We start from the raw sequence: 27,556 nt of genomic DNA, 5'->3' as shown, positions 1-27,556 counted from the left end.
TTAAATCTACTGAATCCAGACTCAGTGTTATAACAATAGCCACTATTTCATCATTATATAATACTAATACTAATACTAATACTAATAATTCCCCTAGGCTCCAAGCTCCATCAGGGTAGGAATTTTTGACTGTTTTTCTTTTTTCTTTCCACTCTTATATTTCCAGTGCCTGGTGCAAGTTACTCGATACAAATTTGTCGAGCACATAATGCTAATTTTAAAATGATGTTGTTTCAGCTGGGCGCAGTGGCTCACGCCTGTAATCCCAGCACTTTGGGAGGCTGAGGCAGGTGGATCACAAGGTCAGGAGATCGAGACCATCCTGGCTAACACGGTGAAACCCCGTCTCTACTAAATATACAGAAAATCAGCTGGGCGTGGTGGTGGGCACCTGTAGTCCCAGCTACTTGGGAGGCTGAGGCAGGAGAATGGTGTGAACCCCAGAGGCGGAGCTTGCAGTGAGCCGAGATCATGCCACTGCACTCCAGCCTGGGTGACAGAGCGAGACTCTATCTCAAAAAAAAAAAAAAAAAAAAAAAGGAAGTGACTTGGTGACTTGGGGCCAGGCATAGTGGCTCACACCTGTAATCCCAGAACTTTGGGAGGCCGAGGTAGGTGGATCGCCTGAGGTCAGGAGTTCAAGACCAGCCTGGCCAACATGGTGAAACCCCATCTCTACTAAAAATACAAAAATTAGCCAGGCGTGGTGGCAGATGACTGCAACCCTAGCTACTCAGGAGGCTGAGGTAGCAGAATTGCTTGAACCCAGGAGGCAGAGGTTGCGGTGAGCTGAGATCACACCACTACACTCCAGCCTGGGTGACAGAGTGAGACTCCATCTCAAAACAACAACAACAAAAAATATATATGTATGTATGTGTGTGTATGTGTGTGTGTGTGTGTGTGTGTGTGTGTGTGTGTGTGTGAATGACTTGGGAGGACAGCAGAGTCCTTTTGTGTGGTAACAAAAGAACTGTGGTTGATGACATTCTCGGCTCTTAGACACCAACATTCTGGCAAACCCGAATTTCAGGTTGTATGAACTGAACGAGGCGGCCACCACCTGCTGGTGAAGCATGGATGTCATCAGAGCCTTGGAGCGGCAACACCTGGCTCCAGGGTCTATTAGCAAGGGTTCCGGGACGAGGAACAAGAGAGCTCTCATCTTCAGGCTCCTGGTCACCACTCATGCTTTCCCCCGGGCACCTGTACATCAACAAGACTTCATGAAATCCTCACTGCACAGGAGATGGAAAAAGGGGCTGCCTCACAATCACCCAGAAAAGACAGAACCCATATGCTTATGATGAGGGCCTGGGGGGGGTAGAGGACGGATACCCTACTTTCCCTGCCCCTTGGCGGGATATCTGAGGGGTGTGCTCCACACTGAGACACCCAGCAGGATTGAACCCTTGTGGTGACTGCTCAACAATGTACCCTATATTGACTTCTTTCCTTCCCCTCCCCTTTCCTTCCCTGTCTCACTCCCATTCTGCTGCCCACACACACACCAGTGCTCCCAGGGATGCCCTCCTGCATAAAGGTCAAGTACTCACACATTTGTTTCAGGGTCTGTTTCTAGGAGATCCCAGCCCAAGACAGTGGGGGGGCATGGACACTCATTGTTCTTTCTGTCCAGCATGGATACCTGCTGTCTGCTAGAAACCCACTGCCACTGTCACGCCATGGTCCAACTCGGTGAGTGGTTCACTCCCTCTGCCTCAACCCACTCCAAGGATGGGCACTCGACTGAGGCATCTCACTGGCTACACAGTCTAGACCAGGGGTTGGCAAGCTTCTTCTATAAAGATGAGTAAATAGAATATTAATTTTATCTTTTATTTATGATTAAGTAAATTATTCATTATCAATTTTTAAAATAAAATTTTAGATGAATAAATATCTTTTCAGCTGTGCAAGCCATATAGTCCACCTTGACTATTCAACTCTGCCACTGTAGCACAAAAGCGGCCTTCGACAAGCCCTAAAGGAATGAGCACGCTTGGGTTCCAATAAGTCTTTATGGACACTGAAACGTGAATTTCATGTAACTTTCACAGGTCATGATATATTGCTCTTCCTTTGTTTTTTTTCAACCATTTAAATGTGTGAATAGCATTCTTAGGTTGTGGGCCAGGCAGAATCAAGTGGCGGGATTGGTCTAGACCATACTTGTCCAACCCAGGGCACGTGGGCTGTGCATTAGCCCAGGATGGCTTTGAATGCAGCCCGATACGAATTTGTAAACTTTTTTAGGGCATTGTGATTTTCTTTCTTTCTCTTTTTAGCTCATCAGCTATCGTCAGTGTTAGTGTATCTTATGTGTGGCCCAAGACAATTCTTCTTCCAGTGTGGCCCAGGGAAGCCAAAAGATTTTGGACACCCTTAGCCTAGACCCTAGATCCAAGATCAAAACTGATCCAATCAAAGATAGTGAACATTACTCCCAGGATGTCTACTGAAAAGTCTGGGAAAGAGTCATCCTCTCTCTGTCGAAGCTGCTGAGCAGTAAGGATGTGTTTTGCAAATTCCAGGGGCTAAGATGGGAGAGGCCCTGCTTAAGAATGAAGTCCCCTCCACCACAGCACAGCAGATCCCAGAGATAGAGAGACGTGGGGGGTGTGGGGTGTGGCAGATTCAGCCATGCCTGTAGCTTAGTAAATTCTCTTGTGAGTGTGTGTGTCTTTTTTTTTTTTTTTGAGATGGAGTTTCGCTCTTGTTGCCCAGGCTGGAGCGCAATGGTGCGATCTCTGCTCACTGCAACCTCTGCCTCCTGGGTTCAAGTGATTCTCCTGCCTCAGCCTCTCAAGTAGCTGGGATTACAGGTGCCTGCCACCATGCCTGGCTAATTTTTTTGTACTTTTATAGAGATGGGGTTTCACCACGTTGGCCAGGCTGGTCTCGAACTCCTGATCTCAGGTGATTCACCTCCCTCGGCCTCCCAAAGTGCTGCGAGTACAGGTGTGAGCCACTAAGCCCAGCCAATTCCCTTGTTTTTGCTCATGCTCATTTGAGTTGGGTTTCTGTCACTCGCAACCCAGAGTCCTGAATAATACAGTGAGGATTTCAGAGGAGGCGTCCAGGCAAGATAAGCTGGAGGAGGCAATGAAGGACAAGCAGGGCCCACCCGAGCCTCAGCACAGTCGCTTGTCATTTCCCTGTCTCGGTTTCCCATTCAGTGGGCAAAATGCTCTCTTAGCTCAGAGTCCAGATAGGGATGTATTCATATTTTTGTAAAACCTCGGCGGTAGGCTCAATATTTCTTGTCAGATTGAGAGCACTAATAAGCAGTGCTGTGTATTAGATGGAATAAATCAATGCCTTCATGGTGGTGTGCTGGCCAGGCCGCTGAGAAACTGCTGAACGGAAAGCAACACACAGCACCCACATCTTCATTTTATGTGACAGAGGGAAACTTCGACATTTTTCTTTATCAAAGGCAGAACTGACCAATGCTGTTGGCTGGGCTCTGCCAGGTCAGGGAAGGGAAGAGTACAGGAAGGGAGGCGTCCCACTTTCTTGGGAGCAGCAGAAGCAGCAGCAGCAGCAGCAGCAGAGGAACTGGGATTGCCAGGAATTCTCCAGAACAGTTAGAAGCAGTTCCATCCTGGGTGGAGGACAACCGAGGGTTTTCTCTGTGATCCATCAGGGATGAGCCTCTGGATCCAGCTGTACCTGAAGCCAAATGGGCATAAGCAAAAACAAGGGAATGGGCATGAGCAAAAACAAGAGAATTGGGCAGGCGTGGTGGCTCACGCCTGTAATCCCAGCACTTTGGGAGGCCAAGGCAGGTGGCTCACCTGAGGTCAGGAGTTCGAGACCAGCCTGGCCAACATGGTGAAACCCTGTCTCTACTAAAAGTGGGAGAGAGCGCCTGGGTCATCAGATGGGATGCACAGCATGAAGAGGTAGAGAAGGGCTGGAGCTGGGGGAACAGGCACATCCTGACATTGATGGGTGAGGTAAGAATGAGGCTGCAGGGACTGCCTGGTGCTCAGTCCACCTGAACATGACAGCATCCACATTTCTCCCTTGATATGGTTTGGCTATGTCCCCACCCAACTCTCATGTTGAACTGTAATCCCCAGTGTTGTGGGAGGGTCCTGGTGGAAGGTGATTAGATCATGGTGGTGGTTTCTAATGGTTTGGCACCATCCCCCTGGTGCTGTCTTGAGATAGAGTTCTCATGAAATCTGGTTGTTTAAAAGTGTGTAGCACTCCCCCTTCACTCTCTTTCTCTCTCTCCTGCTCTGCCATGGGAAGACTGGCTTCCCATTCGCCTTCCTCATGATTGTAAGTTTCCTGAGGCCTCCCAGCCGTGCCTCTTGTACAGCCTGCAGAACTGTGGGTCAATTAAACCTCCTTTCTCCATACATTGCCCAGTCTCAGGTAGTTCTTTACAACAGTGTGAGAATGGACTAATACGCCCCTTCTCTCTTGGCTCACTCTGCAGGCTCCTGAGGGCTGGGCACCTGACTCAGGCCTGACAATTAAAGCACAGCATCCCTTGTTCTCTGTGATACATTCAGGGATGAACACGTCACCCAAGTTGGGCCAAGGAGAGTTCTCCTAGGACCTTTGCTGGGACTGTCATTTTTCCCTCTGGCCCAAGGTTTATAGAACATAAGTCTGGAGCTTCTCATGGCCACCTGCTACGGCTCAGGGAAAGCCTGTCTGTGAGTGAAGCCAACACAAAGGAAGAAAGAGTCTAGAAAAAGAGAGACAGATTCATGATGACACGACTTGAGCCCCTGGATCCAGCTGTGCCTGAAGCCAGCTACCTTTGGCCTTTTTAATAATATGTAGCTATAACTACTCCCCCAACACCTGTTATTATTAAACCATTTTCCCCACCCTTAACTGTGATTACTATAGCCACAAAGAAGAAAGAACTGATTACTATAGCCACAAAGAAGGCTCATGTGTTGACCACTTGCTAGTGGGGGCTAGTGGCTAGTGCTGCTTTTACCTGCTTCCCACTAGCAAAGCCTAGGGCCTGGGACTGCCCCTGAACAGGGCTGGGGCAGACATGACCTTTGGACGAAGTCTAAACTCAGGTTGGCTCATATGGTCCTTCACTATCCAGTGTCTGCCTGTCTTTCCAGGCTTACCTTCTATGCTCTGGCCACACTAGCCTCCTCTGATCTCTGAAAATTTGTCACGCTTCTTTGACAATCAAGACCTTCACACACATCATTCTGTCTGCCTGTAACAGTCGTCTCTCCTCCAGTCTGCCCCTCTCACAAATCCACCTCCCTACCCCAATAAACACATGCACACAGGACAAGGGACAAGCTGGCAAACTGTTACTCTTTTCTTTTTTTCAGAGACAGAGTCTTGCTCTGTCACCCAGGCTGGAGTACAGCGGCACAATCATAGCTCACTGCAGCCTTGAACCCCTGAGCTCAAGAGATCCTCCTGCCTCAGCCTCCCGAGTAGCTGGGATTATAGGCATGTGCCATCACAACCAGCTGTTACTCATTTCTTCTCTTGGCTTAGCTGTCACTTTCCCGAGAAAGTTCCTGTGTTGTCCTCCATCTCTGTTACATGTTCCTAAATAATTCTGCACTTCTTTTCTTATCCTAGCACAATTTCTCATATCCACTAGATACTGATTAAATATGTGTTGAGGGAATCAATGAACAAGGAACCATAAAGTCATCCATAGCTCTGTTATTCATGCCTATCATGGCTCAAAGGGACTTGGGGCATGGTCTTCTCGTGAGTCAGTCACGACACTATTAGCTGTCTACTCAATTTCCAGGCTCTCCTTTCCTGCTAACAGAGCCCCTGCTTGTTCAGAGTAACAGTATACTCAGCCCCAGGTGAAGGATCATGAACTAATGGCTTAAGCCACCCAGGATATCCTGTTCCTCGCTTTCTCAGCCTCTCTTGTAGCAAGGGTGGCCATGTGACCCTGTTCTGGCCAGTGAGACTTAAGTAGAAGTCTCTCGGGAGATCTCCTGATTAAAGCAGTACAAATGTTGCTCTCGCTATCTCTTCTGCCTTCTTCCTGCCTGAAATGGGAATGTGGAGCTTGGAGCATCTGCAGCCATCTTGTGACCATGAAGTAACAAACCACCAACCTCTGGATGCCAACTTGGAAAGATGGAAAGAGACTGGGTTCCTGATGATGCTTTTGGACTGTTGTACCCGTCCAGTGCTACCAACCACAGCATTTTTTTATTTAGTGGGGGAAAAAAACATAGTTTAAGCAACTTTTAGTCAAGGTTTCTGTAACCTTCAGCTAAAAGCATTTATAATGGATGTAGTTTCTTCCTTTCTTGGGGGGACTATGGACTGCTACCGCAACTTAAAATTGCCAACGTGGCTGCCCCAGGGTTCAGGAATCTCTCCTCTTGGTTCTGGGACTCCGTTGAGCAGAGAATCAATCCCAGAGCTCATGCACCCTCCTCTTAGGCCAGGAAGGATCTAATTATCCAGTGATTGTAGCGATTATTTCATCCAATTGATCGATAATAGCTGTAATTTTTAAACACGGTTTTCCATTAATAATTTGCAACATATTTATTGTTTATACTCAAATAAAATAGGACGAAAATAAAACAATTGAGATGCAATCTCCAGAGTCCTGAATATTTACACAGTGCAGTGATACATGTTTTAGCCGAGATATTTTATGTTGTTTTCTCCTTTTTAAAAGAGAAGATGTTTATTAATATAAATGATCACAATGATCACAATTCAGAAAGTTCCCTGAACTGTGACTATGTTGCCAGGGATGGCATAGAGCATTTGTCGATTGATTGTGTATGCCAAGGGATGGCATAGAGAATTCGGTGATTGATTGTGTATGTCTGCCACAGGCAGGGGAGGGCTGAGTTATGCCCTGTGTGCTAGTATTTGTCATCTCTGGCTTAAGCATTGGACCTCTGTTTCCAGCAATGTTATTTAACTTTAGTCGTCTTCCCAAGATGACAGGAAGGGCCACAGCCAACTTTTATGCAAATGGAGAAGGAATAAAAGAAACCCCAGTCTATTTCTAGGGTTTCCTATGACAACATGTGAAACCCCAAGTTAGGGGCTCCTGTTCCACCTTAGCCAGGGGATCCTTGAGTGGAGAGTTTCTCAATCCCATAGACATGCCCACTCATTACTGGTTCCCAAACTTTGAAGGTAAGACAGCTGCTTTATTAAAAAATTGAAGCTTGCTGGCAGAAAGGCCCTTGTGAACATTCTCCAAAGGGCCAGTGGCGGCTGCTTACCAGCCTCTGGGGCCTGCTTCGAGGGCTCCTCTCTGGGACCCACTCCCTCTTTCCCAACAACCCTCCTCTTGAACCCAGCTCAGCCCTAAGCAATTTTACTGTCTGTCAGCCTAGTGTGCAGGGGGAGGCAAATAAAATCCCTGCCCCTAATGGAAAAGCAAACGTCGCATGTTCTCACTCATAAGTGGAGGCTAAGCTACGAGGACGCAAAGGCCTAAGAATGATATGATGGACTTTGGGGACTCAGGGCAAAGGGTGGGAAGCAGGTGAGGGATAAAAGGCTACACGTTGGGTTCAGTGTACACTGCTCGGGTGATGGGTGCACCAAAATCTCACAAATCACCACTAAAGAACGTACTCATGCAACCAAATGCCACCTGTACCCCAAACACTTACGGAAAGTTTAAAAAACCAAAACACAAAAAAACAAAATCCCTGCCCCCAGAATGCTCAGAGTCAGCCTTGAGTTTTTTCAAGTCAATCACTACTGGGTTGGGTCCCTGCATGACAGAAAGTTACCTTAGCCAATGGATGCCTCAGGACTGGGCCCATCCCTCTCTTTTCCCAGGTGAGGGGAAAGAGGAAAGGCATCCAACATCCACAGAACTGCCTGATGTGCGCAGCCTCCCGCACATCATCTGATTCCGCCCTCACGGCAGCTCCAATAGGTGGGGATTGATTCCAAGAGCACAAACACAGACACTGGGACTCGGAGAGCTTGGCTAACCCCACATCACACAGCCGCCGAGCCAGGATCTGAACCCCATTTGGTCTGACCCCAAGTCTTCATTCTTTTCGCTGCACCAACTTGTTGTCCATGAAAATCTGAGTGGGTGAGAAGAGCAAAGGCGGCCTGAATTCTTTTAAGCCCAGATTCCCAGCCAGGCTTACCAATGGGAAACAGGAAATTCCAGGTTCATCCTTCAGCAGGTGCATGTTGGGCATGTGGGGATACCAGGTTCTGTAAAAACCGAGATGAAAAAAAATCCAGCCGCTACTGGAGAGGAACTTAACAGTCTCAGTGGGGGCATGCATGTGAAACCGACAGAACCACTGACATGGGAGGGAAACGGCCAGCGCGGGACCGAGGCTGAGAAGGCACAGAGGAGGGAGGCGACACCCATGGGGAACGGGCCATCAGCCGCCCCCAGGAGCAGCAAGGCCGCTCTGTAGAATTTTCCAGAAATTGCAACCTGGCTCTCAGGAGGTCTCAGAGTGTTGAGGAGGGTGGCTCAGGCTTGAGTGCAATTGCAGAAGCAGGCAATGACTCATCCTGTGTTTATCAGAAACTCTACAACACAAAAATCCACTAAAATAAATCCATATGGCCAACGCCAGAGCGCCTGACAATGAGACAGATTCTTGCCTTTTACGAACATCCGCAGACAATTAGCACACCCTCCTGGTCACATGCTGGGAAATTTTCCCTTCTTTCCCTTTATTCCTGCTTTTGCAATCTGGGAGGAACAACAAAAGGAGTCTCTCTGTGCCTCTGTCCCTCAGATGGGGGTGCACGGGCTTCCACCAGCAAAACATTTCCATGTGGCTCTCGATGGGCAGGGGACTCAGCGGCCAGCATGGACCTGCTTTTCTAAAACTTGGGTCTGAGTCCAGGTCCAGCCCCTTCTTTGCTATGTGGACTTTGAGGAGCAATTGAATCTCTGTGTCTTGTTACCATTCAGCCAGCTGTCCACCAATTCAGAGCGTGTTCACTGAGCACCTGCTACGTGCTGGCCTTGGGTTAAGTGCTGGAGATATCAATGTGCCCTCCTGGAGCGTGTGGACCAGAGAGACAGAATTAAACCACTAACAACAAATAAGAGTGAGGGCTGTGGTCTCAGAGGCCTTGCAGTGGACACATGGACAGAAAGTCCAGTCCTGGGGAGTCAATGACACGCAAGGTAAGGTATGAAGAACACACAGGTGGGGCTTGATCAGGCGACAATGGGATGAATGCAGCTTGGGGATTAAGTGCACAGGCTTTAGAGGTGGAAGGCCTGGGTTCCAATCCCAACGTGGTCCCTTACTAGATATGTGTCCTTGGGCAAGTGACTTAGTCTCTTTGTGCCTCAGTTTGCTTGCCTGGAAAATGGGGATGATGATAAAAGTAGCTGGCTCATTGGAGTTTTGTGAGGATGATGTGAATTATACACGAAAAGCCCTCATGCCTGGAGGCACAGACAGCTCTTTTACATACAACATCGTTATGGTTTTTTCAGGCCCGCGGCAAGCAGGAATGCATACTTGTTTAAATAAAGTCTAGAGAGAGTGTGGGATGACTGAAAAAGAGCGAGAAAGATAAAACAGCAAAAAGAAGCGGTGATGGAGATGGCATTTTCTAGGACAGATGAGAAAAGCTGGCCTGGAGAGACAGCTTCCAGGTGGAGCCACAGAAGTGGAGTCAAGAAAGGAGTCATAGGATCTCTGAGCATCATAAAACACATCCCAAAAGCTGTTCTGTTCTCTCTGTGCCTTCGCGGCCTCAGGGATGGTCCAGGCCTTTGAATGGACATGACTTAAAAGGCAGTCCTTGCTAGCTTTTGCGAGACTCTGAAATTCCCTGTTTAGGCCTGGGGCAGTGGGAAAAGTCAGAGAAGGCTGTGGGTGAACCCCCGGCTTCAGCAAGGGGGATGCGCTGTGAGCACACCTCGCTGTGGAACAGCATTTGGGGCTCACAGCAGAGAGGGGGCCGTGCAAACAGCCAAATGGTCAGCACCTACCTCAGTGCCTCTGCAGAAGAGTCTTCCCCCAAGAGGCCACTAAATGTAGAGCCTAGAAGGGACACTTCAAACCAAAATATCTCATGGTTCATAGAGCCAAGCCAAGGAATTCTCTGCCACCAAGTGTCAGGAAGTCAACACAGAGAACCAGATAGAAGAAGGCTGCAAATACCGTAGAATACTACCCCCATAGGAGAGGAGGCAACACTGAGGCTCAAGGGGGTGACTGTCATGAAGATGATGATGATGATGACGATGATGATCACAGTAACATAAATAGCATTCTGCCACCATTTCTGGAATGGCGCCCATGTTCTGGGGACTGCATTAGATATCTTTTTTTACTTAACCCTCAGATAAATCTCTGAGCAGCAAGGACAGTCAAGATGCAAGCGTCGCTCCTTGGACTCTGAAACCTGTGTCATTTCCTCCCTGCTTTGCAGTGCTGCCCACACAACAGCTGTTGGGTGCCGGGTAGGTCTACTGAATTCTCCATTCCTTTAACTTCAGGCTAACACATCATAATTGGTTATCATTTCTTAAATATACCTCCCAGGAGCAGTAGTCAATGCACTTTTATTGACAGTGTCTGCAGAGCAAGTTCATGGAAGTTCTAACCCAAGGGTCTCCTGCCCTGCTGGTTCACTCTTCCTCTGCCTATCCCTTTCTAGCTCTCTTTCTTTCGTGCTGTCCCTGGGCTCTTCTCATCTTCCTAGGAAGAGCAGCATCAGGATCTAACCAGGCCTCCCATCACGCTGCACCCCTGCCTGAATTGAGTCTGAAAGTCTGCTTCCACTTCCTCCCTGGGATTTTTAACCTTTTTTTTTTTTTTTTTTGAGATGGAGTCTTGCTCTGTTGCCCAGGGTGGAGTGCAATGGTGCAATCTCGGCTCACTGCAACCTCCGCCTCCTGGGTTCAAGAGATTTTCCTGCCTCAGCCTCCTGAGTAGCTGGGATTACAGGCATGCGCCAGCATGCCCGGCTAATTTTTGTGTTTTTAGTAGAGACGGGGTTTCACCATGTTGGCCAGGCTGGTCTTGAACTCCTGACCTCAGGTGATCCGTCTGCCTTGGCCTCCTAAAGTGCTGGGATCACAGGCGCAAGCCACCACGCCGGGCCCACTCATTCCCTGGCCTCATTTTGCCCATGCTTAGGTCTTGTCTTCCTAGGTTTCCTGGAGCACCAAGAACTAGGCCCTGCTCCCAGCCTCCAATCTGAGCGGACCTCCCCTTCTGGGCTTCCACACACTATACGATCTGTCCCTCCCACTCCCAAGCTTTCTTAAGTATCCCTTCTTTCTTTTTGTCTCCCTATGTGGCACAGCTGGCATTTTGGTGGGATAATTCTTCATTGTATAGGACTGTCCCCTGCGTTTCAGGACATTCAACATCCTGGCCACTACCTTCTGAATACCAATAGCTGCCCCCAGGCTGGTGACAACCAAAGCGACCCCCCAAATTTCCAAATACCTCCTACTTGGGAGTGGGGGTGGGGATACCAGCCTTGGTTGCCAACCTCTGTATCTACTCTCTTCAATCTCCATATTCTCCAAGGCTGTGCAGGAGATACCACACTGGGGTATCTCCTGGGCTTCCCAACAACTTCCTTCCTCTGGAAACGGCCCCCTTCCCTCCCAGAGATGCCCCTAAGCCGCGTGTTTGTCCTGCATGACTTCACGGGGACGTCTCGGTTCATGCCCAGTTTTCTCCTGACTGAAGCTGTTCGTTGTGGATTCTCTCTCCTAGGAATTAGGAATCCGGATTCAGAGCCTGCCCATGTGTGGCCGAGGCGACGGGCCTTCCCAGGTGTGGTGCCACATGCCCAGAAGGCTGCTCTACAGAGGGAGGAGAACGGGGCTGGTTGCAGGGGGAAGCCGAGTTGTCTCCCCAGCAAACACTCCCAGGCACCCCTTCCTGCTTTCGAAGAGAACCTCCATTTTCTTTGGGAAGCCCCCCTTCCCCATAGGATGGTGGCGATCCCCTTTACCTCGCCAGTGATCCACTCGGCACCTGACTCAGCTGTGGCCAAAGCGGCACGGGCCAGGGCTAGAGGAGCTTCTGGAGGGCTCCTAAGAAAGAGACGCCTGGGAAAAGCAGCCCTCTCTAGGATTAGATGCAGCCCTGTCTTCATGTGTGGGCCACCGTGATGCCAGGAAAGGAGCACTCGCCACAGAGCCAGCGATGGAGGTGAGTGGGAAGGAAAGACGGGATAGACCAGATGCCGGAACACGACGGAGCCTCCAGAGAAGGCCACTGGGGCATCCTACGTCAGGACCCGCTGTGATGTGGGAAAACATACTTTTCTCATTGTGTGGGCAAGGTGAGTCAGAGTTTTCTGTTTTGTGCACAGACATTTGAACTACTGCACAGGGACGGAAGGACACGCAGCCCAGGAGGGAGGGGCTGAGAGAGGGGCGGCTCCCCAGCCTCCAATTCCCTCCCCAGACCTGAACGCCCAGCTTCTCTTTGCATTGTGTGAAATTCCAGTGTCTTCCCAAGAAATCCTCCTTCACCATGTAAGCAACCCTGAGGCAGATTCTATTGCTTGAAACCCAAAGACCCAAAGAATCTTGGTGAAGACAAGGATGTTTTCTCCCTCCTGCTTTTGTCTCCCTGATTTCATATCCTCGCAGTGCTTCCATGCACACATGACCTGAATCAGTATCTCTAGTCCAGCCTCTTTCCCTGCCCTGTTCTCCCAGGTGCCTCCTGGAATTCTCGGCCTGGCACCTCACCTCCCAGGGTCACAGGTGACGTGCCCCCTCAAGTTACCTGGCTGGGACGAAAGCTTTGTTTTCCTGGGCTTGGCCATCAAGACCAGGAATGGAAAGAGGCAAGAAGGGTCGCTGTTGTGGAGGTGGGGAACCAGGAAACTCCAGGAGAAAAATCATTAATCCAAAAAAACAAACAAACAAACAGAGGCTTTCTTTAGTAGCAGCATGTTGTTTGAACAACCAAATCTACAGACAGGGAGACGGTCAGTATTTCACGATGCAAGAGGCAGTGTGGTCTGGTAAGAAAACCACCACGTGTCTGGAGCTGAGAGCTCTACTGAGGGCAGACGGGACTCTGCTCCTTGGAGGGAGTTGCTTCCCTCCATGGGCCTCAATATTTCCATCTGTTACACAGGGAGATTCAGCTGGTGACAGTAGTACCAGCTTTCCAGGGTTGACTGGGGGGCTTAAACAATAGAAATTTACTTTCTCACAATTCTGGAGGCTGGAAGTCTGAGATCTAGGTGTTAGCAGGGGTCGTTTCTCCTGAGGCCTCTCTCCGTGGCTTGTAGACGGCTGTCTTCTCCCTGAGACCCCCTCTGGTTGTCCCTCTGGGTGTATCTGTGTCCGAATCCCCTCCTCTTACAAGGACACCAGTTGTATTGGGTTAGGGCCCACCCTAGTTACCTCATTTTACTGTAATTACCTCTTTTTTTTTTTTTTCAGAGGTGGAGTCTCAGTCACCCTGGCTGGAGTGCAGTGGAGCTATCTCCACTCACTGCAACCTCCACCTCCTGGGTTCAAGCGATTCTCCTGCCTCAGCCTCCCAAGTAGCTGGGATTACAGGTGCCTGCCACAACACCTGGCTAATTTGTTTTGTATTTTTAGTAGAGACAGGGTTTCACCATGTTGGCTAGGCTGGTCTCAAACTCCTGACCTCAAGTGATCTGCCTGCCTTTGCTTCCCAAAGTACTGGGATTACAGGCGGTAATTACCTCTTGAAAGACACTTCCTCCATATTCAGTCACATTCTGAGGTCTGGGAGGGTTAGGGCTTCATTATATGAATTTTAAGAGGATACAACTAAGCCCATAACAGTGACTTCTAAGGATTCTTTCAAGCTCACTTCTTCCCCATCCATTTTTCTTCCAGCCTCTACTATTTTGATCTCTGGGACTTCTATTTTTCAGGCATCCAGACTCAGAATCAGAATGTTGCCTCCTTTTCAATTCCTCACACGCTCCCGTTTCTCCCGACAATCCATCACAGAACAGACCACGGTCCTGCTGCGTCCAGCCCTTGCCATCCCCGGTGCCGTCATGTCGTCTGAGCCCTTATTCACCTTTTGCTCACCCTGCCCCTCGGCTCTTCTCTCCTGGCCATCTTGGGCGTATCCCTTCCCTGCATCAGACTGCCATGGCCCCCTTCACTCCCCACTGTGCCCCACTGCTCTTCCTCTGGAATCTTCTACTCCATTCAAACCAAACCATGACTATTCCCAGTACCTAATCTGCACCTTCTACCTTTACCTTCTGCTCAAGACAGGAATACCTCCCTTGCTGGGGCCTTCATCTTCCTTTTGAAGTTCTGTCCTCCCAGATCAAGTTCAAAGACCACAGAGCACACGTGGCCAGGCATTGCCAACTCACTGTGGGCGAGAGTGGAAAACCCCACGTGACATTCCATGCAGTTTGTTCTGCACGCTCCAGCTTCGTTCAGGCAGCTGTGCAGCCCAGCACGTGGGTTTGCAGCTGTGAGAATAAACCCAACTGTGGCACCAAACGGGGGCAGTGGGACACATCCCATTTGCCATGGCTGCTTCCAGGCTGGCAGATGGAGATGGGCTCTCATGATACCCAGATGATGTGGCACTTGAAATTGGCAGATGGCTCCGGGAACAGAGGCAATGACTTGGCTAAGTAACCCTCAAAAGCCCTGAAGCCTCTGCGGGGAAACAGTTAGGGAGAGTAGGCTGAATAGATGATCCAGCATTGCTCTAATGGTGATCTTTGACCAGCAGCACCAGCCCCTCTGTGTGAACGTCACAGAATGTGAGTTCATGGGCCCTGCCACTCCTACTGAATCTGCATATTTGGGAAGGGCCCCAGGAAACTGTTTTCATAAATTCACAAATTCTCCAGGTGATTCCTGAGCACATTAAAGTTGGAGAACCACTAGATTAGATAGAGGTGAGGGTGGACTATATATATATAAATAGATTTTTTTTCGGGCCAGGCACAGTGGCTTATGCCTACATCGTAGCACTTTGGGAGGCTGAGACGGGTGGATCAACTGAAGTCAGGAGTTCAAGACCAGCCTGGCCAACATGGTGAAACCCTGTCTCTACTAAAAATATTTAAAAATTAGCCAGGTGTGGTGGTGGGCACCTGTAATCCCAGCTACTCGGGAGGTTGAGGGAGGAGAATTGCTTGAACCCAGGAGACGGAGGTTGCAATGAGCCGATACCGTACCACTGCACTCCAGCCTGGGTGACAGAGTGAGACTCCTTCTCAAAAAAAAAAAAAAAAAAAGATTTTTTTTCAAAGGAATTGGCTCACATGATGGTGGGGACTCGCAAGTCTGAAGTGTGTAGGGCAGGCTGGAAATGCAGGCAGGATTTGGAGCCGCAGTCTCGGCTGTGAAATCTGTAGGGCACTTTGGCAGACTGGAAACTCAGGTAGGATTTCCACGTTACAGTCTTGAGGCAGGATTTCTTCGTTTTTTGGGAAAACCAGTTTTTATTCGTAAGGCTGCCCACTGGTTGGAGGAGGCCCACCCATAAGAACAACGGTCCTCACCTTGACTTAAAGCCAGATGATTTGGGACATTAATTCCATCAACAAAATACCTTCCCAGCAACATCTGAACTCGTGTTTGATGGAACAACTGGGCCCCACAGCCCAGCCAAGCTGACACGTAAATTAACTATCATAGAGAGTTAGCTCCAGCTCTTCTTGAAGCTCGAGGATTTGGCTTTTTCTGGGATCCTGTCAGGCCCCCTGACAAGGGACTCTTAATGATTTAAGGTAAATTGAACGAGTCCTTCTATACCGGTACCAAGTTAGCCCATCATTAGTTGCTTGCAAGGTTTTTGTTTTAAGCCAGAGGTTCATTTCTTGAGGGCAGAAAACATGTCGACTTTCTTGGACCTTCTTGGTACTGAGTATCTTCAATTTTTTTTTGAGACAGAGTTTCGCTGTTGTTGCCCAGGCTGGAGTGCAATGGCACGATCTCGGCTCACTGCGGCGTTTGCCTCCCAGATTCAAGCGATTGTCCTGCCTCAGCCTCCCAGGCAGCTGGGATTACAGGTGCCTGCCACTATGCCTGGCTAATTTTTGTATTGTTAGTAGAGACGGTCTTTCACCATGTTGGCTAGGCTGGTCTTGAACTGCTGACCTCAAGTGATCCACCTGCCTCGGCCTCCCAAAGTGCTGGGGTTACAAGTGTGAGCCACCATGCCTGGCCTCTTCAGTTCGACTCTCAACATCCTCCCTCACCCCTTCTCAAAGTTCTGGGAGGCTGACCTGCAAGGAATGCATCCGAGGTCTGCTCCTTCCCTGCAATGAGTTTTGGCCTCCATTTGGGTTTGGCCAATGGGAGACACCAGGAGGAGTCTAGAGGGTGCAGCCTGCCTTTGCATTTCCAAAAACCCGTGCTGTTGCTGGGGTTGGCCTCATGCCTCAAACTCAAAGCTGCAGCTCCTGCTGGGCTGTCCCCACATCCATGCAGGCATGCTCTCCAAATTCTGTTGACTGCTTCGTGACCCTTGTCCCTGAAGAAGTAGAGGTGGTATCGCCTCCCTGCTGTGGCACCCACCTGGGTAACGCGCTATTACACTGGATTTCCTTAAATTCACACTGAACACTTGTCAACAGGTCTCCCATTGAACTCTTCTCAGATCACCCAGTTTTAGTGGGCCATCTGTTTTCAGCCAGGACCTTGATGGATATACACTCGCAATACACATGGGACTGGTTACCTAGTGGTGAATGATAGAACAAGACAGAAAATCTTCCAGTGGACGAAGGGGCAACAAAGTACCCAGCATTTTCAGCTCTAGGGTCAAGTTTTGACTTGCAAACATGTCGCTCAAACAGTTTGCCCAGCAGCAATTAAGGTGAGGCTGTGGGGCGGGGGAATAAGAGGGGAAGAGAAGGATGATGTTAGGTATGCCAGGAGTTAAGTTTCCAAAGCAGGGATGGCCAGCATGGCCCACTTTGCAATTTTCTGCCAAAATATTTTAAATGAAACAGCTGTGTATGAGCAAAACCGCTGAGAATTGTTCCAGCTCTGAGCATGAATCTGAATCACTCATCTTTGGTATTTGACAGGCTGTGTAATTGCTCTAAACCCTATTATCTTCCCTAGTAGTTGTTGAAGTGTCATTAGGATACCTCAAATGAAAGGCTAAATTCTCCTATATACACAGTTTTAATAATTACAGACTTTTTTTTTTTTTCCTATTTAGAAATGCAAAGCTCTGCTCAAAAAGGGAGGTGCCAGGATTGTAGGATGGGTCAGAGACTTCGGAAGCTAGACTGGGAGGCTGTTATATGTACTTTTAATTTTCTCTTGACCAATTAACCTCACGTGACTTCTAAATTTTCTACCATATGCAGAGAGAAGACAGCAAGGCATACAAATGATCTGCAAACATTATTGAGCACCTACTATGTGCCAACTATTGTTTTAGGCTCTGGGGACATAAGAATGAATAACCCTGAGAAGGTGGCCATAGTAATGTTTGTGCCATATCACGCTATCTTGTGGTTTATTTTATGTTTCTGCTATGCTAGATAGGGAGGGGAGCGGGAAGACAGAGCTATGTCTTGATTATCTTGGTATCTGCAGTATGTAGTCCAGCTCAACAGGCATTTGTTGAATGACTGAATGACTATTTACAGAGGGCACACTATGGGCCAGGAACCTGTCTGGGGTCTTAGATATGGCCATGAACAAGATGGATGCAGCCCTTGCCTTCTTGGAGCTCATATTTGGCAGGGGGTCGCCAAGATATATGCTGCACAGTACATGATGAGCACAAGGAGTGTTTCCTAGAGAAAGTACTGGATGTTTTGCCTCAACAGTCCACATCAGTGTGCAGGTAATTAGCATTACTCGGGGCACTGAAGGAAGGGTTGTCACAATGACAACAAAGCAGTACCCATTGAGAGGCAGGAGGGCGTGGTCTGAACTCCAGCTTGGCCAATGGCCACTGTTGGAACTTGGGTGAGTTATCTCTCTAAACCTCAGTTTCCCTTCTAGAAAATAGAAATGATACTACTTAACTCTCAAGTTACTGGCCATAGGCAGAATTCTTTTGATCTCTGTCCCCTGGTGTTACACCCTGTAGAATCTCCTAGCTTTGAGTGTGGCTAGGACCATCTATCTGTCTATCAATCATCTATCCATCCATTCATCCATCTATCCATCCAGCCATCTCTATCTATTTAGATAAATATATGTATGTATTTATTCATTCTATAATCTATCTATATTTATCTATCTAGATATGTATGTGTCTATCAATTTATCATTATCTATTTATATCTATCATCTATCTCTACATGTAAATATATCTAGATCTATCTGTATCTATATCTATTAATATGTCTGTCTGTCTATCTATTTACCTTTCTATCATCTATGACTCCCTCTTGCTTGTATACCCTAGCAAGATTCTCCTTGCTGGTGCCATGAAGTCCGCGGCCATGTTGAGGAAGCCCTGAGGGCAAAGAACCATGGGAAGCTTCTAGAATCTGAGGGTGGCCTCTGGGTGACAGTCAACAAAATGCCAGGGACCTGCTCAGATAGCCACAAGGAAATGAATTCTGACCACAACCTGAGGGAGCATAGCAGTGGGTTGTTCCCCAGTAGAGCCTCCAGATGAGAACACAGCCTAGCCAATGTCACAAGGATTGCAGCCTTGTGAGACTCGGAGCAGAGGACCCATTTAAGCATTCCTGGACTCCTGGACCTAAACTGAGAAATAATAAATGTATATTGCTGGAGGCCACCAAGTGTGTAGTGATTCATTACATTGCAATGGATATCTAGTAGATTGCTACTATGTGCCTGACACATAGTAGGTTCTGAAAGTAGAGGTGAAGGAAAGCAGAAGAAGACTTAAGCCATCCTACCCTCCTCTTGTCCTCTCCTCAAACCCCAACAGAAGCTGGCATTCCAAGAGGCTCCGGGCCTTCTACAATGTCAGCCTTGCTAAGGTGCCTGGCTTGGAATGAGAAATGTCACCAAGGGCACTTCCCAGAAGGGCAGGTGCTCCAGGTTGTGTGTACTCGGGGTTCATTTGCCTCGAGGCTGGAAGTTGCTACCTTGGAGACAGAGAAGTGATGGGATCTCCTTTATCTGCCCAGAACCCAGGAAGATGATGCCAAAAATGACTGGCTGTTTGCTGCCTTATCACTGCCTGATGTGGATATGGAGCTGGGCAGAGCTGCTCAGCCTCTGCAAGGCAATTCAGTGGCCCTGGGTGGCACAGCATGGGCTCTGCCATCTGCTTGGAAGCCCTCTGTAAGTTCCCAGGTTTGTGGGCACCTGGGAAAGGGAGACTGGTTTGTTTCCAGACTCATTTGATTGAATTCCAGCACCATTTGTAAAATGGCTCTAATTTCTCTGACATTCAGACAATGATTCTGTTGCTTCCTCCCCACATGCAATGATATCCTGCCCAGATCTGTCATAATCAACACTGAACTTTCTGGGCTTCCAGTTTTCTGCCACAATAGGCACAACAGGACGGATTTCAGAGGGTTGTTGGAAGATTATCATTAACGTTATTATCAAGAACATTGTTCACAGGTGACGCTGCACTGGAAGCTGGGCCAAGTGCTTAAGTCTAGTGTTTATTTAACCTTCTCAGCACTCTTAGGGGGGTCAGAGGACTGCCAACGACACCGGATGAATGCCTCAGGGAGCGCCCAGCACCCAGAAGGGGCAAATTTCCTGACTTCCCTTCCACTGACCTCACAGAGAAGGATAGGAGCTCCATTACCCACGACTGCAGCATTTCCCTCTATCCTGTGATCCCTTTCCCAGTGACCCACATAGACCCTGATTTTGTGGTCTTGTTGCTGCACAGGGAAGTATCTAAGCAGGTCACACCCTTGTCAGTCCCTGGCCCCTTGGTAAATGCGTGAGAGAGGAAGCTGAAAGCCCAGGCCCTGATCAGAGCCCCACTCAGGCCCTGCTGTGAGTGGAAGTCCACTCATTGCCTTCCACTGGGTGCCCACTGTGCACTGGACAGCAACCCAAGGCTTTACATCCTCTGTCTTGTTTAATTCTCAACATGACCCCTGAACGAGGTATTATTAATCATCTCCAGCATTCCACGTATCCATGCTGCATGCTAAACCATTCTAGAACATATAGAAATACATTCCAAAATGTCCACTAAGGAAACTTTCCTTGAATTTGAAGCTGACAACTTCCCACGGTCACAAATGCCCCTAATGCCTTCCATTACTCCTTGCTGGGCTGGAGCCCTGCTTGGGATCATTTCAGGAGTAACAAGCACCAGGAGCCCAAGGAAGCCTCGGTGTACCCCATGGGTACATGGTGCCTGCTCTGGAACAGGGCCAGGTAGGAGCCCTTGCTGGGTTTTCAAAGGATTCTCATCTTTGACTGCAAGGCCAGTCTCCTGTTTGTCTGTGCTCAGAGCACGGGGCAGAGACTGGCAGCAGGGACCAATAGAAGATGCAGCCTTTGGCCAGGCGCAGTGGCTCACGCCTGCAATCCCAGCACTTTGGGAGGCTGAGGTGGGTGGATCACGAGCTCAGGGGTTTGAGACCAGCCTGGCCAACATGGTGAAACCCCGTCTCTACTACAAATACAAAAATTAGCTGTGCTTGGTGGCGTGGGAGATACTCGGGAGGCTGAGGCAGGAGAATCACTTGAACCCGGGGGGCAGAGGTTTCAGGGAGCTGATATGGTGCCACTGCACTCCAGCCTGGAGGACAGAGTGAGAGTCCATCTCAAAAAAGTAATAATAATAATAAAAAAGATCCAGTCTTTGACCATGTGTCATATTCACACTCAGTTGTGACCAAGGGAAGTTGTTGGCTTCACATCCAAGGAAACTTCCCTTAGTGGACATCAAGGTAGAGGGTCTAATGATTTTCACCTGAAATCAGATGTGCTCCACAATGGCTGACGATGCTGGCATCACCCATTGACAGAGGCAAGGTGAGGTCTAATACCCTCTAAGTTATGGTGATACCCTGGCCCCCAGTTCCTGGGGGATGAGTAAGCTCATCCCAGCGGGACAGAACAATTAGTACTTAGCAGATCACGTGCTGCCTACTTGTATGGGTCACTAGGTGCCCACTGTGCACTGGACAGCAACCCAAATGCTCTACATCCTCTGTCTTGTTTAATTCTCAACACGACCCCTGAATGAGGTATTATTTTCATCTCCAGCATTCCATGTATCCATGGCTGCATGACAAGCCATTCTAGAACATATGGAAATACATTCCAAAATGTCCACTAGAGGAAGTTTCCTTGAATTTGATGCTGACAACTTCCCATGGTCACAAAAGAGTGTGAATATGACCTAGGGTGGAAGGCTATATCTTCTATTAGTCTTAAAATAACAATAGTCATTTATTTTGCTCACAACTCTGCCATTCAGGCAGCGGTGGGTGAGGACAGTTTGACTCTGCTCCACATGGCATTAACCGAGGGGTCGCAAATGGGAACCAGAAGATCCGCTTCCAGGATGACTCACTCACATGGCTGGCAAATTGATGCTGGCTTCAGCTGGAAGCTCAGCTAGGGCTGTCAGCCTCAAACCTTGGTTCCTCTCCATGGAGACCTCTCCATGGGCAGCTTGGGTTGCCTCACAACATGGCAGCTGCGTTCCAAGAAGTTCAGGTGGAAACCGCAAGGCTTCATATGTGACCTAGCTTCAGAAGTCCCCATATGCACTTCTGTTGCATTGTATTACTCAATCAAGTCATTAATCCAGATTCAAGAGAAGGCAGATTAGATTCTACATCTCAAGTAGAAAAGAGTAGCAAAGAATATGTGGTTATCTTTAATCCACCATACCCATGAATGGTGGATTGATGAAGAGACTGAGGTTTCAAGACATTTAGCACTTTTTCAGAGGGAGCAGCTGGAAAGAAACAGAGATCCAAATCTGAACCCAACTCTGAATAAGCTCCAAGTACAAGCTCTTTCTACCCGACTAAGTAGTACTTCAAACCAGTAAGCTAATGCAAATGGTTGGTTGGGTTAGCTAATAGGGCATGTCTTCAGAAACAGGCCCAGAAAGACCATTAAAATTAAGACTGAATTTCTTAAGGCTATGAGTTTCTTCAAGGATTCTACTTCTTTTCTGCCAGCCACGCTTGGTCAGAGTTTTCACAGGCTAAAACTTCATCAGAAGACAAATCAAGCTTAAGTCTGGGCATGGTGGCTCACACTTCCAATCCCAATGCGTTGGGAAGCTGAGGCAGGAGGATCCCTTGAGGCCAGGATTTGAGACCAGTCTGGGCAACATAGTGAGACCTCATCTCTACAAAAAATTTAAAAAATTAGCTGGGCATGGTGGCATGCACCTGTAGTCCTAACTATGCAGGAGGCTGAAGTGGGAATATTGCTTGGGCCTAAGAGTTTGAGGCTGCAGTGAGCTATGATCACACCACTGCATTCCAGCCTGGATGATAGAGCAAGACTCTATTTCAAAACACAACAAAAAATTCCCACCAGGCTTGAAAAATGAATGTGATCCGGGACAGAAAGATAATTGCTGAATTTGTCCACATCTTCCTTCTCTGTGTCAGGCATGCTTGTTCCACCACCCCTCCACTGAAGACGAGTTGAAGACACGTGGGTGCCCTGTGCATAGGGATGCTGAGTACAGTTGCTCAAGATGTGCACTGTACAAGGAGACCAGCTAAGGAGTGAAGGGGTTGAAATGTAGTCTGAGCTCCTCTCTGTGAGCCCCGTGTCATGGTGTGGGACTGAGTCCACCTGGAGGCAGGGTGTCATCAAATTTGCTCAAGGTAGTCACAGAGGGCTGGCCTGCCAGAAGAGACTAATCCTGGGACACCCTTCAAAGCAATGCTACCTCAATATTCTGAGGAGGTGCTGAACATTTCAAGGGAAAGGTGGGGAAAGATGTGACAGCTCTCGGTGTCCCTTCTAACATCTTAAGCAGTTCTGCTCTGGCTCCAAACTTACATCCTCTTTCCAGAAAAACAAAAGTTCTTCAGTTATCGGGATCACCATCTGCAGAGGGCAGTTCAGGACCATCCTTGGGGTACTTAGATGGATTTTGAAGACCTTGCCCTTCTCAGGTTCAAGTTTTCATTCTTCCATTTACTCACTGCGTGACCTTGGGCCAAGTCTGTAACATCTCAGGGTTTGTCATTTCCCCCGTGCAACAGGGATCATCATAATATGCATTTCATTAAATCTAGGACACCATCATTTATAACATGCACTATCATTTGATGTATCACTAAGAAAACAAAGCTGCCAATTCAACTACCATGCCTTTAATATGAAGATGCATTCTTGTTTCAGAGACAAAAAATGAGAACAACGTGTGCTTTAGAATTGATAGAATTTAGTAAAATAGCTTGCTTCCCTACATTAAAAGAAGGTTGTAAGAGAGTAAATGAAACAATGTGCAAAAAAATCTTTGCGAACTGTAAAGCACTGAAAATATTAATGATTCTTAGCCAAAGAAACTTTCAAATGGCTTCATTTAAAATACTGATCTACTATTCGATGTTGCACAAGGCATTTAATTGTTTTAACGTATTCACTAAGTAGTTCCAAGAGCTGTATTTACAGCGTTTGTCTGAATTGTTTTCTACTTTTATAACATTCCCACCCTCTTATGATTTATTCGTGTAGCATCAACTTGTGAGTTTGAATGAGATTCAAGATTTGGGGCTTGATTTATAGTTGGAGTTGACTAACATTTGGGAACAATGAACTGTGTTATATAAACACATAAATACCACAAGAGAAAGCTGACGTGCTAATTACTGTGAGGGGACAGGGTGGGGAAGAAAAAGCACCACAAAAATCCTGTTTCATCTCAGAGTTTTCTGACAATTGTGCTGTCGGTTGGGGGAGGGCGAGGAATTCCTCTGGACCACATTTCTCATGTTGCTTTGAGGGGGGAAATGGTTGAAAGATTTGGATTGTGGTTTCCCTTTGCAAAGAAAAAGAAACATTTTGGAGGCCACCAAAGAGCAGTTGGTCCATAAATCTCCAAATCTGAAAAGACGGAAGTTGTCTAGGGCCTTGGATGTCCTATGCCCTCAGAAGGACAAGCTGGCCATGGTGCTCCAGGCAGTGCCAAGGCCCCAGCACTGACTTCCTGGCCCATTTGGGCTGGCAGGCTACGGCTGGACCTGGCCTGTCCCCACCCTGGGAGGCTGGTTTTCTCATGACTCGGCTTTCTTGCAGGATGCCCCCAGTCAGAGGTCTGGAGGCCGCTCCTCTAGGCCACCCTCATGTCCTTGGGAAAGCAGCCTGGTGTCCCCAACAAGCCACACCCTGGAATCCGGCAGGCCTGAGTTCACATCCTGCCTCTATCATTTGCTAGCAGTTTGGTACTAGACTTTTCTGTGCCTTAGCTTCCTTATTTTCAAGACTGAATGAGCTAATGTGGGGTGGGAGGGGGTCATGTCCATCAGAGTGTCTAGAGCGGAGTGGACACTCATTAAAGTATTCCTTTTGGGAATCTCTGGTGGAACTTTGAGATTCATTCATTCTGCTGACATTTGCTAAACCTCACACTGTGCCAAACAATGGCTGGGGGCTGAGGATGCCACAACGAGGAAGGCAGATCTGGTCCAGGCCCCTGAGCAGAAAATCAGCCAACAGACAATCAAATAAACAAAATAAGAGAAATCCAGTGGATGATAAGAGTTCTGAAGAAAAGCAAGCAAGGTACGGGGTTGGAGAGAGATGAGGTGATGGGGGTGCGGTGCTCCCTTAGGAAAGGTGTTCAGGGAAGGTCCTGCCCTCTAAGGTACCTCGGCCTCCCAGTCCATGATTCTTGAACCCAAAAGTTCTCAACTGGGGCTGATTAATAATCATGAATATTGATCAATAATGATTAGTGATTATCATTGATAATTAATGTCTAGGGACATTATTATTACTGGGTAAGGAAGTGGTGGCTAGTGGGGTCTAGTAGGGTACAGGCCAGGAATCCTGCTAAACATCTATAATGCACCTGCAATGCACAAGACAGCCTCCGAAAACAAAGAGTATCCAGCCCCAAATGTCAACAGTTCTGAGGCTGAGAAATCCTGATCTAGCCCGTTACCTTGTATTATGTTTTTCATGATCCTTGGCAGAGTTGATGGTGGTGGAAATGCCCCTGGTGGAAGGGACCTGGCTTATAGACCCACCAGCACTGTGGCCTGTGATGGGGTGACATCAGACTGCAAGCCTCCCAGCCACTGCCATCTCCCGGGTCTACAGGCATGCAGCAATGCCTACCACCCACACGGCGAGCACTGTACATGCTGGCTTCATACCCTAGCCCTCCAAGGCTGGGGTTACTCCAGTAAAGCTTATTCTGCCTACCAGAAATTTTTAAAAAATCAAACCAAATAGGATTCTGGCTCTAGCCAGCTCTGGAGACAATTGTATTCGGAAATACTTTCAGAATAGGGCACTTGGAATTCAATAACACACTGTCAGAGTCCAATCAGTGCACTCCCCTGCACCCTTGCAAGTTTCTACATTCACATCCAGTTAAAGGAAAAAATCAAAAGCAGGAAGTGATGTTGGTACCAACCGGCACATAGGTGTGAGCAGGAAGTGACACCTGGCAGCCTGACGGTGAGGGAGGAAGAGCAAAGTCACAGAGGGAGAGAAGAATTCAGAAAGCACAGCTGTCTAGGCATTTGGCTCCTGACAAATGGTTGCCTGCCCCTCACCTCACCAGCCTCTCCAGACACCTCTGCATCACACAGCACTGATGACCGCTTCCCGGCCCAACACCCACTTGGCTTATTCTGTGCCACCAGGCTCTGATTTTGTTTGGGAGGTAATGTGCTCAGCCCCAAGACTGGCCAAACTTGGCCCTCAGCGTCCCATTCCTCCTTGCCAGTGGTTTTTCTAGGAATAGACCTGGGGCCCTGTTCTGGTCAGTAAAATGTAAGGGTGAATTAGCTTAGGAATTTCTGAGAAAGATTCTCCTCTGTGATGAAGCAGAGAGTCACATGACTAGAAACTCTTTTTGTTGTTGTTGTTTTACCACCACCCCTTCCTTCCTGCTTTGGAAATGGGTTTATGATGTGATGCTTGGAGCTGTGGCAGCCGTTTTGTGACCATGAGGGAAGGCTTCTCCAGTGTGCTAGGATTCAGGGGAGGAAATACAGAATGAATGTCAGTCCTTGATGACACTGCTGAGCCCTAAACCAACTCTGAGAACTTAAGACTTTCTGTTCTGTAAGAAATGAGATTTATTTATTGTTTAAGACTCTGTTGGGTATTCTGTTATCTGTGGCCCAAAGTATCTCAAATAATATATTATAATTTCTTTTTGTAATAATACATCTCAGATGGACATCCCCCAGAGTCTAAGACTTTGAGACATGTCATCTCTGAAAGAGGCAAAGCATCCATTATTTAGAAACCTTGGCCGGGTGCAGTGGCTCACACCTGTGATCCCAGCACTTTAGGAGGCTGAGGTGGGTGGATCACTTGAGGTCAGGAGTTTGAGACCAGCCCAGCCAACATGGTGAAACCCCGTCTCTACTAAAAAAAAAAAAAATTAGCCGACCGTGGTGGCACTTGCCTGTAATACCATCTATTCAGGGGGCTGAGGTAGGAGAATTGCTTGAACCCGGGAGGCAGAGGTTGCGGTGAACTGAGATCGAACCACTGCACTCCAGCCTGGGGTGACAGAGTGAGACGCCATCTCAAAAAAAAAAAAAAAAAAAAAAAGAAACCTCTTTAATCTGGAACAATGTCTCCTGCCCCTGAGAGTTGCACAAAGGAAACTTTTACTCTGTTTATTGCACCCAGAGTCACATGGTCTAGAACATACACCGCCTTTGCTTTCACACAGCAATTTCATGCTCACAATCTCTATTCACAGGCTCACAGTATCTCAGTGTTGGAAACTGGCACTTGGAGCCAACTCTATCCATAATCTCCTCATTCACTGCCACCCCAGGTGGGACTGGTTTATTTGCCTGGCAGGTATAGGCTAAAGAACTGAGCACAATGGAGCCAGTCCTTCCTTGCTCCTTTGTCTTGGGAGTGAGCTGCCTACAGAAGGCATATGATCTGCTCTGCTCCTCCACAGACTTTTGTAGTTGAGGGGCAGGCTCTATCTCTAGGGGAGTGGAGGCTGCTCCAAGCCAGGGTTGCCTGTGTCTGGGTGGGGAAATAGGTCTAATTTGGGGGCTGATTTGCCCACAGATACACACTACCTTCCCCAATATTAGGATTTTTTTTTTAATTGAGGCAGGGTCTTACTCTGTCACCCAGGCTGCAGTGTGGTTGCGTGATGATGGCTCACTGCAGCCTCAACCTCCTGAGATGAGATGATCCTACTATCTCAGCCTCCTGAGTAGCTGGGACCACAGGTGCACACCACCATGCCCGACTAATTCTTTTTTAACTTGTAGAGACAGAGTCTCACTCTGTTGCCCAGGCCAGTCTCAAATTCCTGGGCTCAAGTGATCCTCCCGCTTTGGCCTCCCAAAGGGCTGGGATTACGGGTGTGAGCCACCATGCATGGACCTCAAGATTAGTTTTATCAGTAATAAATATATTTTGGCCTAGCATCATGTTGACCAGAGTCAGTTAAGAGAACAGACTCTTCTGGCTACTTCAAGCAAGAAGGTATTTATTACAGGATACTAAGTGGCTTATGGAATTGTAGGAAGA

At 48.1% G+C, this 27,556-nt stretch overlaps 1 protein-coding gene and 1 long non-coding RNA gene across 12 annotated transcripts in view, besides 2 other annotated features; one reads left to right on the top strand and one right to left on the bottom strand.

The window, feature by feature from the left end:
* The window catches only part of KAZN (kazrin, periplakin interacting protein), a 1,225,220-nt gene that overhangs the window by 283,148 nt on the left and 914,516 nt on the right, over positions 1 to 27,556 (bottom strand). The gene's annotated exons all lie outside the window — the stretch shown is intronic.
* LOC124903848 (uncharacterized) lies at positions 1,832 to 11,775 on the top strand. The gene is made up of 3 exons (XR_007065476.1): positions 1,832 to 9,127; positions 10,303 to 10,420; positions 11,691 to 11,775. It is a non-coding gene; the product is annotated as an uncharacterized LOC124903848 (long non-coding RNA).
* Positions 8,340 to 8,880: an enhancer, noted in NCBI's record as "H3K27ac-H3K4me1 hESC enhancer chr1:15152512-15153052 (GRCh37/hg19 assembly coordinates)". NCBI's record gives its function as "activates a minimal SCP1, AML or CMV promoter by ChIP-STARR-seq in primed H9 embryonic stem cells {active_cell/tissue: H9 hESC(primed)}" and the evidence as "EXISTENCE:reporter gene assay evidence [ECO:0000049][PMID:30033119]".
* Positions 11,605 to 12,804: an enhancer, noted in NCBI's record as "BRD4-independent group 4 enhancer chr1:15148588-15149787 (GRCh37/hg19 assembly coordinates)". NCBI's record gives its function as "activates an origin of replication core promoter dependent on BRD2, P300/CBP, MED14 and CDK7 cofactors, and independent of BRD4, by STARR-seq in HCT116 cells {active_cell/tissue: HCT116}" and the evidence as "EXISTENCE:reporter gene assay evidence [ECO:0000049][PMID:35650434]".

The sequence above is a fragment of the Homo sapiens genome, chromosome 1, assembly GCF_000001405.40.
Source record: "Homo sapiens chromosome 1, GRCh38.p14 Primary Assembly".
NCBI classification, from domain to species: Eukaryota; Metazoa; Chordata; class Mammalia; order Primates; family Hominidae; genus Homo; species Homo sapiens.
Note: the sequence above shows the minus strand (reverse complement) of the source record. Positions and strands in the feature narration are given on the sequence as shown.